Below are 12,657 nucleotides of genomic sequence, written 5' to 3' on the forward strand. Positions count from 1 at the left end.
TTCTCTATTAAAATAAAATATTTTAAAAGTCCATTTTTATTTAAGGCTTCTGAATACCAGCTTGCTTGTCTTCTCTAAAGTTCACATGCTTTGCCCTTCAATTATCAATGACTGCTAAATGACAAGATAGTCAGTAACCCTCACACAATTCCATAAATGAAGCTATGAATTCATTATTTTAAACTTTTGCCCAGCACATGCTTATGAATATAAGGTTGAATTAAGTTTCATCCAACTCTTAATTAACAAAAAAAGAATTGTGGATAGCATTTGCTAATAAACCAAGAAAACTTTTTTTGTAGTATTGTAGAAGGCATTATTTGGAGACGATCTCAGGATATCTAGTTTCTAATCATGGGGTCGAATTGTCCTATTCCTCTAACATTTTTAATGCATTTATTTCTTGATCTCTAAATGATCTGCTGTATGCAGTGAGAGTGCAGAGAATATTTTCTAAAACATACATTTGGCCTTAAGGTGTTTTTTTTTTTAACTCACTTTTCAGCACAATTATTTTAAAAAGTATGACTTTTTAATCAAGGTATATTAATGAACTTTGCTTTGGGCTCTCTTAAGGATTTCAATGAACACAAACATGGAATCTTCCTTTCTGTGTTAGCCGGAGGCAGTGGTTTATTCAGAAAAGGGGTTATGTTCAAGAGGAAATTTGATAATCCTTTTCTAGTATAATCAGGGCAACTTTTAAAAAGCATGAAAGCTTAAATAGCTTCCCTGCCTCTTCCCCCAGGCCTTTGGTAGTGACATGCTTAGTTGTTTTTATCCTCTGATTTTCATTTCTTTTTTTCTTCTGTCCCTCTGAACTACGAATATGTCTTTATGAGTCTCGATATCCCCTCTACCCTTTCCTTTCATTGGACTAGAGAAAAAAATGAGATATATTGGGAAAGGGATACTCAGTCCTGTGAAAATTGTGGATAGGTGAGGCTTGAACAGATAGTGAATAATTGGGGTCGAAGTATCAGTGGCTACAATAAGGGAATCTTGCTGAGTTTATAGACTTCCTTTTTCCTAGGTTTCAGAACCATTGTTTGTCTCATCAACACACTTTGTGAACTTGGGTACTAATGGTTGATATAAGAAAGAGTGGAGCAAAGCCAACTCAATCAAATGCACTAAAATGGGTTCCATGAATTAGGGCTTCAGAAATCATTGAAAATAATTTCTTAAAAGATATATACATTGTTCTATCCTTTTAAGAAAAGTGCACTTGCAGTGTTAAGATGTATATTCATTATTTGTGAATATTTTAAAGATTATCCAAGAAAAACAAATGAAAAATTTACTGGCTTGGTTTGATACATTAGATTGTTCCTAGTCTTAGTGTCTAAAATTAGAAATATCAGGAAAATTATTGTAGTATGTATTTTGCTTTGCTTATGTGATAAGGTTCCTACATCTAAAATATTTTATGCACTATCTGATTTTTTACATTTTACAAATTCATCATTTATTTTAAATTAACAGATTTTAAATATTCCAGCAAACATGTATGCTTCTGAAGTTTTTAATGTTAAAATTACAAGTAAAATTAAATAATTCTATATTGTCTCATTTAATTCCACATATTTTCTGGTAAATTATTCTGTCATCTATACGAAAATGAATAAAGTTCTTAGATAATTGTTATAAAATTATTTCTGCTGAGAAAAAAACTATATATGTATTTGTATTAACCTAGAGAAGGATATAGAAATATACACAAAATCTAATGTCATTAGTTTACTTGACAGGAAGGGGTAAAAATAGAAGTGTGAGAGAGATTAATAATTTTTCCCTTACATATCTCTGTTTCACTGGTTACAATAAATACCTTTTTATCTTTTAAGAGAAATTTAATAACAGAATTTTTTTCAATTCTTGTTTACTTCCTTTCACCCTAACTGGCCTCTTTGTTTTCCCTTATTTTTTCTCTTTTCTTTTTCTTTTCCATACCTTTCTTCCTCCTTCATTCTTTAACTATTTCATTCCTTCAGTCTTTTCTATATTCTTGCTTTATATAAATAGACATTATCACATATTTCTATCTAAAATTCTAATTGGCCTGTAATAAGAATATATTAAATTTATCAAAACCAATGTTCTTTTATTTGACATTCTTATGTCACTGTATTCTTGCCTAATAATTCAGGTTTAATTCTAGCAAAGTTTTATCAGATTGTTTTGTTTCATTAGGAAAGCTATGGTGATTAGAGAGGAAAATGAGAAAGAACTTCTATGAACCTGTCTCATATTGTGTATGACCCATCTCACGTTGTGATGGTGTGGGAATTTGTGTTACCTCATTAACTCTGAAGCTGGAGGAACTGTTATGACCTATTATTCCAAAGAGTATTCACTGGATTATTATAGAGTGGAAAGTATGCCCTGAAGATATATGAATTCATTGTCTGTTCTAATCATGGAGAAAATTATTCACTTAGTCTACCAGGCAATTTTAACTGATTTCAGATGAGAAAGATGCTTTATTCCACAAACCCCCAAGGACTGTTTATCTATATGATATAATCAAGTTGACTAAATTATCACTTTCTAATCAATGAATTTTTCTGAAAACAAACTCACAACATTCACTTTTTCATCTCTTGTCTCCATCAGATCTAAGTTAGTTTGGAGGCAAGATTAGCAGAGCAGCCCCATAGGACTCTAATTTTGTGGCAAATGCTTCTCTAAGGAGGAAGAAATTTACACCTCCTTCAAGAGAATTGTTTATCTAGCTGCTGAATCAGAGATTTGCTGTAATCATGCTTCTCCTATAGCCATGTAACAGTGAGAATTCTCACAAGGCACACCAACCATACAGCCAAGAGGAGACTAGAGCATAGCACTATTCCTAAACTTCACTTTTCCTGTATTTTAATCAAAGCATTCTACTTAGTTTTATTTAATGTCATATCAAAATGCACTATTATTTTGTAAAGAAAAGTCTAATTTTTAAATACATTAGGGTTTTTTAAAATCAATTATACTTATCTAGTATGAATTGAGTTATAATTGGTAGAGGATGTGAGAAGAGCAAATATTATGTAATCTAACCAGAGCGCTATGGTGGGGAGAAATGTTGATATGAAACTGTCTAGGCTTGAATATAAGGAATGATCATGTTACTACGAGGAAACATAATTTCAAATCTAACTACTTTTCATCTTCAGTCTCTGGGTCTCCCTCAGAAGTAGACAACAATATTCTGGATGTTGACAGAGAACGGCTACCAACACCCTGACTGTGTCCACTTGCTCCAGCCCACTGTGTATGTGCTGTTTCCTCTTCTGGGCAAATTCTCCAACCCTTTCTCTTATTATTCACTTCGCCGCATCCTGGACAATCTATTCTGGTCAATTGTTCTTTTTTTTTTCCCAGTGAAATATTTCTACCATCTAGAAAGGTATAGGAAATAATATCATTAACATCAGTTTACTGTTATATAGCTATATCAAATCTTATTTTTTTCTATATTTGTTACAGATTTTTATTTTTGTTTTATCTAAGAAAAAAATGTATGTACTTACATTTGAAATTTCCTACATAATCTTTCTCAATCACATTTCCCTCCCTCTCTTTCCAGAGGTAACTACTTTTAATTTGTTTTTATTTTTTTAATTTCTGGACATATTATAATACTATTCCTATTTATGAATTCATAAACACTATATAAAATTATTTTATATTTTATACTTCATATAAATAGTACTGTTTATTTTCTTCAATTTAGTGGTTTTTTTTTCCTTGGATGAGAGTATCTCATGTAATTTAACTTTATTTTTAAATTCATTTTTGTTGATATTTGAGTTCTCGTTCAGTTATTTTAATTATGAATAGCATTTCTTTCATGAATAGAACACGATATATCTATCCATTCTTCTGTTAATGGACATTTCAATTGTTTCAGTTTTTCACTATTATAGCACAAGACAATGAAAATTTTTATTCACATCTCTCTCTTCGTGCACAGGTATTAGATTATCAACATAGAAATAGAATTACAAAGTTGAAGGTATGCACATCTTCACATTTATTGAATTTGGCCAAATCACCTTCCAAGATAGAAAATCAATTCACATACCCAGCAAGAGTGTATGACAATTCCTTCTTCCCACAGTATTGCCAATGCTGAGTTTTACCAGATTATTTTACTTTTTCTAATTGAATGGCTGGAACTGTCACTTAGGAATTTTTCTTAAGCTTTTTATAAGGCTTAGCTTAGACAGTGCTTCCTTTAAGAAGTCCTCCCAGATAGCTGAAGACCAAATTCCTTACTCTTCCCATGTGCTTCCATGTGGATCAACTTAGCAATTTGAATATTGCATTAGAATAGCCTGCTTATACTTCTTTCTCCCAGTCTTCACTCTTAGCTTCTTGAGGAAAGGCATTGTGTATTTTCTTTCATTCTATCACCAGTGCTTTGGTAGATATTTAATGAAGTAAACAAATTCACGAAGTAGAAATTTTAGAAAAAATAGGAAATTGGCTTATTGTGGACAAGGGTTTTCTTTTAGATATAAAATAATCACAATGCAAACAGCTACAGGATGGCGGATTCAATAACAAAGTAACTTCCCATTGGAAAGTCTTTTTATCTAGCATATATGTCCATGTATTCACTTATATCTAGCAATGGATTGAAATCCAGAAAGAAATATGGTCTACATAAATATGCCATTTTTTTCCAGTATGGTAAGCTATGTGACCTATTTATATATTTTGATGAAGTGAAATGGAGGTACTTTGTAACTTGACTATGTACTTCATTGCTTACAAAGCAAAAGGCATGTTTATTTTTCTTTGTTCTTTTTATTCGAGTTCTTAAGGTATCCAGTGACTATAATAGCTGTCATAAATATACTGACGAAAAGATCTAGTAGTGAGCAGCAGACTTCATCTGGCAGCTCTTAAGGTGGCATTTAAGTAAGTTATGTTCTATTTCCTAGTAGACCACAGGACTTGAATATTTTAGATATCTTATTATTAGGTTGGTGCAAAAGTAATTGTGGTTTGGCCATTGAAAATAATGGCAAAAGCAACAATTATTTTTGCACCAACTAACAATTAAAACTGTTTTATTTGCTCTTATACATAAACGTTTTTACTTTTACTACTATAAATAGCTAGCCAATCACAAATGCTTCTTTAAAAACCATGTAGAAACCAGCAGATTTTAAAAATCTAATAGTAATGAAGTAAACATGGTGTTATAAATTGAGCCAGCAATGCCTTCTATTTTAAGGTGAAAACAGATGATGTTTGTTTAGGATGTTATAAAGCATAATCTGTGAATTGAATCTTAACCTCAAAAGAATAATAATTGGGCTTGGCATGGTGGCTCACACCTGCAATCCAAGCACTTTGAGAGGCCTAAGTGGGCACATCACTTGCAGCCAGGAGTTTGAGACTAGCCTGGCCAACATGGTGAATCCCTGTTCTCTACTAAAAATAAGAAAAAGCCAGGCATGGTGGTGTGTGCCTGTAGTCCTAGCTACTCTGGTAGCTGAGGCATGAGAATTGCTTGCACCTGGGAGGCGAAAGTTGCAGTGAGCTGAGATCATGCCACTGTACTCTAACTTGGGAGACAGAGCAAGACTGTCGAAAAAAAAGAAGAAGAATTGCACTCATTTAGAAAGATGTCTCATTATGAATTATAATCATATGGCAAGAGCAACTTGAGCTAAGTTGAACTGACCATACCTAAAATTCTAGCTAATATGCAGGATAATATCATTTGGGATAAAGAGAAATGACCTTGGAGACAAAACTCTTGGATCAAGTTTCCCCTGATCTTTTACCAATGATGTTAAGTTTAGGCAAGTTCCCTCTGCCATGCCCATCTATAAGATGGATAGCTTGGAGGGTAGGGACTTAGGACTGGATGGTCTCTGGAGGTCCTTTTCTCTTAGAAAGTCTTTTGTAAAACAAAAGATTTGCTATGAGACAAAAAGATCTTGCAAAACATTCATTTACTTTAAAATGTCAGATCAGATTTTTAATCAGGGGACAAGAGAATAACTGGCCCATGGATCCTCAGCAAATTTGTCACTATGGAAAAAATCTGAATAGAAGACATAGACTAGGACTCTGGAATGATGGCTGTTTTGCTCTTGCCAGTGTTGTTTTGTACATAGGGAAAATCTGGAAACAATTTATAGTTAATACTCTTACCGTGCTGGAAAAAAAAGCTCAAGGAAATCAAAAGTGCAGAGAGGTATGTCTTTCCAAGAAAAAAGCTGGTGGTGACCAAGAATGGAAACCAGTCTTCTCAACCCCTGGGTCTTCTCTCTAGAGGTTGCCCTGTATTTTTCACTGGTAATTTATAACACTTGTTATTGAGTAAGGCTTATTTTGGCAAAGACAGAAAGAGTTGATGGGGTGATTAATATGTTTTGATGTTGCTCTATATAATGGTTTAAAAAATCAGTTTTTATGAATCATATCAATATGAGTCATCAAATGAACTATTTTTTTCTTTATCATTTAAAAAGAAGCACTAGGCTGCTGCTAGTCAGTATCATTTTTCAACATTTATCTGATTAATAATGACCTTTCTGGCACTCCATTGTAAACTATACCACAAGCTGTGTATTTCCATTCAATGAGAATCTGGCTAGGGATTCAAAGATCTATTACAATAGAGTAGATTATATGGAAATATAAATAGGCTAGTGGTCTTGAGATTTCATGGGGAAAAAAACCTACTTCACATAAATAATGTGCATGAATAGAAAACTATTCACAGAGGTATTCTATAGTAGACTAAATAAAATTTATAAATTATTTTCTCAAGGTTAAAAAAAAAATCCTCCTTGTGAGATGGCCTATATCACAGCATGCTAGCAAACATCAACCTCCACTGCCAAGTAGGATTTAGTAGGGACAAGTCTTGTACAAGTAGTGTGTCGACAGTCAACCCATATGGATAGATGAAGTGCCAAATTAGTCTGGAAAGCAGAGTAGTGTCCAAAGATTAAGTAAAAGATAATTTGTATTCTAGCCTTTGTGGCATCAAACTCTGAATTCATTTACTACTGCAATAATCAGATCATCAGCACTAGGAAAGTTCAGCTTAGTTCAAAGCATTTACTTGCATTTTTATTAAGACTAACTTTGGAGGAGATTTACGTGTATATCCAAGCAAACCTTTACCTGTGCAAGTTTGATTGGATTCATCTTCATTGCTCCCACAGTCATTAGCTCCATCACAAAGCCATCTCTTGGGGATGCAGCGATTATTCTGGCATTTAAACTGATCATCAGGACAGCTATGATTGACTGGGAGGGAGGGGGAAGCAAGATTAATTATTTAAAATTGGATAAAGTTGTGAATATTTTGAATGATAGTTACAGAAAAGTTACAGTAATAATATTATAGTACAATAAATGTCATAGAGTCTGTCATTCATTGCCTTATATTTAATAGCAAATACTAATATTCACTTTGTTAAAATGTAATGCTTTTATAAAAAACATCAAGTAATTACATCTTAAATAAAAGGAAATGTATTCTTTTTTTATGTCTCCATTAAAACCAACTGTATGGCCAGGCGTGGTGGCTCACGCCTGTAATCCCAGCATTTTGGGAGGCTGAGGTGGGTGGATCACCTGGGGTCAGGAGTTTGAGACCAGTCTGGCCAACTTGGTGAAACCCTGTTTCTACTAAAAATACAAAAAATTAGCCAGGCATGGTGGCGCATGCCTGTAATCCCAGCTACTTGGGAGGCTGAGGCAGGAGAATCGCTTGAACCCAAGAGGCGGAGGTTGCAGTGAGCTGAGATTGATCGCTGTGGACAACAAAAGCGAAACTCCATCTCAAAAAAAATAAATAAATAAAACCAACTGTATCACTAAGTTTGTTTTCTCATTCCTTAAACCAACTGGAGACTTCACTTAAAAATTTTTTACCAAGAACATTTAAAATTAACCTCAAATCTTAATGTTAAACATAACAAGTATGTATTGAAAATAATTTAGTCATATATATTAAAAATATTTTTTAAACCACATAAACATTCAAATATTTCTTAACATATTAACTAAGCCTACTTTTATTACTCTCTGTCCAGTGTTTCTTGGGAATGGAAGGAGGAACACAGAAAAGAAAATGAAAACACAGAAAAGAAAAATGCATCACTTGTGACCTAGAGTTGATGTTAACTATGAGATTCTGTATTACTTAAAAAAAAAAAATCATCATGAGTTTTCTTCCCTAGTACAAACAAACATGCAACCACAGAAAATACTTAGGAGGTGACCAATCCTCATCTGGGAAGCTGTGCACAGCTAAGGATTAAACTTCCAATATCCAAGCACAACAGGAGGGCCATCTTAATGTTAACCTTCTATGATTATTTTTCCTCCATTCCAGAGGCTAAATTCCTAACTGAATTGGCATGCTCTTCAATATGTGTTTCACAATTTCAACGCTGTTTTTAAGGGTAATTTTCTTTATGCCCAGTAGTTACACTTCGTATGATAAAAACAAATGTTTATATTTGTTTTACTGAGAATTTGAAAAATTGTTGTTTTATCATGCTTGTTGAGTAGCAAATGCGTGCATTTCCAGTTAGTTTCTATAAAACAGTTTTTCTTTAAAGTAGCTTTGTTGATACGTGGTTTTATCACTTTTTAGAAAGTTTTTATTGATGTATAGTAAAAAAACAAAACAAAACAAAAAAATAGGGAGAAAAGCTTTATATTCTCTGGTATTTGAGCATGATTTACATTTTCTACTCACTTCAGGGACTTTAGCAAGAATAAATGCCGAGAGAAATATAAGTCATCTGATGTATTAGAGAGCCAACAATTTAAAGTACCAATATTATACATATGCACTTCAGTGAGGCTTAATCAAGGACTTTTGCAATTTTCAACAATAAAGTAATAAACAGGAATTCAAACACCTTTTGGTATGGAGCCAAAACACTGAAGGAATAGAAAGTAGAATAACAAAATTCAAGGTTGCAGATTATGGGTGTTTAATATTTAAAATAATCCTCTGAAATTACCTATGTAGTATTAGAATATTAACCATGAGATCTCAGAAATAAAATGTTGCTCAGAATCACTGCAATGCTTAGGGAAGATGACATAGTGCTGGAAGGTGGTCAGAGGTGTGTAACTGCTTATTGCCTCACTTATCTAATCACCCACTCATCCATGTGCCAGGCACTGTGCTAGACCGAGAGACTACGTAACACTACAACATAAGGTGTCTTCTCATGAAAATATTAATCTATTAGATGTACCAAATAAGTAAGCAAATAATTTCAATTTGGTTTGGCAACTACTGTAATAAAGAATTGTACAGCAGATGAATGTTTAACTCCAAATGGCTGTATTGAGAGTCAAAAAAAGATTTTCCTAAGAAGGTAATGGTAAGCTATGTTGAATTCCTTAGACAGAAAACAGTCAGTGCAGTATTGCAGAGGAGAAAAACAGGACATGTTTTGGAGATTTATAGTTCAAGTTGATAAAAATAAAAAGGGTAAATGGATGCATAATAGACTAAAGACTAAAAATGTAAATACAAGACAGAGCAGGAAGTATTGTATATGTGAGTCAACAGATTTTAGAATTTATTTTGTTGGTTGTGCAGTTATTGAAATTAAAAGAATGGATTTTATTCTATAAATATCGCTCTGAAAATAGTGTGGAAAGTGGGCTAAAGTTAAGGGAGGAATAGTGGCAGGCATAATAGAAAGCCATTTTCTGAGTCAATCTAAGGTGAAGGCCTAATTTAGCCAATGAAAATTGACAGGAAGTAAACATAAAAAATTAATTATTTAGGAAGTAGAAAAAATAGGATTTATTTAAAAAATTGAGTGTGGACTATAAGTAAAAGAGTTCTCCAGGGGAAAAAAAACACAAAAAAACCATGGCTTGGGTGATGGATTGAAGAGTGATGATAATAAGATAAAATGACTGATTAGAAATTTTAACATTCTAATTAGCAGTACAAATGCAATGCTTCTTCTACCCATAGAGGAGGTCAGTTTTCTTGTTAATTTGCTAGAAGATACAAGTCACACTGATGAAAACGTGGACCTAAGGAACCAATACATGAATATTGTGATGCAGTATTTGCACTCTGCTCAGGCATTTAAAGTTGACTACAGAGGAAGCTGATATATAGGGAGCATTCATCACAACCACAAATAGGCTGGCCCAAAGGTAATGAGTTAACTCAACTGACTCTTCACACTTAGTTACAAATCAAACTCCTTGTTCTACTCCTTCCTTCTTTTTAATTATTGCACTTGACTGATTAGTCTTAAAAGTAATAATAAATAAATAACAGTTCTGATTGTGAGTCAAGAAGTGAGACAATTAATCACTAAATAATACTCATTTATGTAAATTAGGACAAAAATACCCTTTACCCTCAGACGAAAGGTTCCTCTCCAAAAATCTTGACTAATTATAGCAATTTAGTATTTAAATTTTTTTTGTGGGTTCAAACTTTGCAGGACAGATATTAATGGGTCTGAAAATAAGAAGTACATAATGTTGAAGTCAGGGCCTGAATTTGGAAATCAAGAGAAAATGCAGTCCTATATTTACGCATTTATTATAATTTATGTGTTATGTATTAATATACAATTTGAAAATATTTTTTAAAGTTCATATTCTTGAGATTTTTGTCCTGAAGCATCGATGTTTGAATAAAATGGATGCCCAGACTAACTTTGCCCATTCTTAAAAAAGATCTTTAAAACTTCATTTGTATATTAATTTTTAAAAAAGGGAAATGAAGGACTGTCAATTAACTCTCATTAGTTCAGACCTAAAAAAGGACATTTATAGAAAGAAAAAAAATTAAAAACAATGTTCTTAGGTCAGATAAAAAGATCAAGGATAAATTTGTTCAACACATGCCTTCTTTTCATATAAAATATTTTATATCTCTCAAAATCACTTAGCCAGTGACTCTAATCAAATATATTCTCAAAACATTATTTAATGTACTTCCCCAAATGTTTTCCTAACACATATGTGAGAAATTTTATTTTGCCTACTAGCAACATGAAACTATTCCTATCCCAGCAGATGATAAATAATTAAATAGAAGCCAAAGAGGGGAAAGTCAAACATTGATTTCTGAGTGCCCATATGTGTTTTCTACCATGTCCTGAGACAGTGAAGCTATATAGTAACATGTTCCAAACCCATGTCTGTTTCCTTGGATCTTCTTCAAGGCTCTGTTGCCAAAGAGCAGTGGAGTGGATCGTGACCTTCTGTACCAATAATTTTGTCTTGAGGGAATTTAAATTGATTTTCCACATCTTTAAATTCAAAAATCCAAAGAATTTCCCTACAGCAACCTCTGACAGTGGCATGGTGGCGCTGATATCATGGAATGTAAAAGGAGAAATTCTTAGAGCAACTAAAATGATAATATGAAGGATGGAAAAGGATGAGAAAAACTGCTTTGAAACTATGCAAAGGAGGCAATCTATGGTCTACTCTTTATGCAAAAGGATGACTGAAAAATTAAACTAGGTTCAATCTGCATCAAAGGTATTTTCAGATTGTCACAAACTGCCTTGATAATTCACACACTCAAAGACTCAGGAAAATACAATTTTTAGGTGACTTGGAAGAGAACATACAGCAGTTTACTGAATCCTCATCGCTTCCGTCTAGGCAGTCATCGTCGCCATCACATTTCCACCGAGCTTGGATACAGTGTCTGTTTTTGCAGCGAAACTCTCCAGCTTTACATATGTGAGGTAGTGCTTCTCCAGGATTAACTAGAGTTAAAAAAACCCAAGGTATATGAATAATGCTAGCTACAGTCAGTCCATTAAAATTTAAATCTTGTAGAGTTTTTTGTTTGTTTTAGATTCTACATATCAGTGGGATGAGGTATTTGTCCTTCTCTGTCTACCTTATTTTACTGAGCACAATGTCATCCAGGTTCATCCAAGTTGTTGCAATTGACAGAATTTCCTTTTTCTAAAGGCCGAGTAATATTCCATTATATATGTAGGTTGGTAGGTAAGGATGTGTGTGTGTGTGTGTGTGTGTGTGTGTGTATCACAATTTCTAAGTCGAATACATAGAGAATAAAGTGGTAATGGAGAGGAGAAGAGGAGATGTAGGTCAAAGAGCGCAAAGTGGCAGATAGGTAGGATGAATAAGTCTACAAATCCAACATACAATACAAAGACTATAGTTACAATATTGTGTTAAAATATGCATTGGAAATTTGCTGAGAGTAGATTGCAGGTGTTCTTACCACATACACTAAAGAGTGACTATAAGAGATGATGGATATATTAATTAGACTATAGTAACCATTTCACTATGTATATTAAAACATTATGTTGTACACCTTAAATACATACAATAAAAATAATGTCCTAAAATTTTACATACTTTAAATTCAAAAATATGTGATACTCATAAAGTTTACTATAATCAAACATACACAGAAATAAATTTTGCTACAATAACAAAATGTTGTCTCATTTAACTTAATTGAAACTATAAAACATTGTGGTGACAGCCATCTTTGAGAAAAAGAAAATTTTCAATTTTTCTGGCAACAAGTATTCTACTGGGTGAAAGTTGACATGTAAATTGGGTTATTCTTGCTGTATACAACTAAAACACTACTGAGAAGTGAAGGGGAAAAAGCACTCAGGGCAC

At 33.1% G+C, this 12,657-nt stretch overlaps 1 protein-coding gene across 3 annotated transcripts in view; it reads right to left on the reverse strand.

Moving 5' to 3' along the window:
- Positions 1-12,657, reverse strand: part of LRP1B (LDL receptor related protein 1B) — a 1,899,594-nt gene that overhangs the window by 750,957 nt on the left and 1,135,980 nt on the right. For all 3 annotated transcript variants that reach the window (NM_018557.3, XM_017004341.2, XM_047444771.1), the window contains exons 16-17: positions 11,616-11,756; positions 7,153-7,278 (exon numbers count right to left, since the gene is read on the reverse strand). In NM_018557.3, coding sequence (NP_061027.2) covers positions 7,153-7,278; positions 11,616-11,756 — 267 coding nt within the window. The remainder of the gene's footprint in view (positions 1-7,152; positions 7,279-11,615; positions 11,757-12,657) is intronic.

This window comes from Homo sapiens, chromosome 2, assembly GCF_000001405.40.
Source record: "Homo sapiens chromosome 2, GRCh38.p14 Primary Assembly".
NCBI classification, from domain to species: Eukaryota; Metazoa; Chordata; class Mammalia; order Primates; family Hominidae; genus Homo; species Homo sapiens.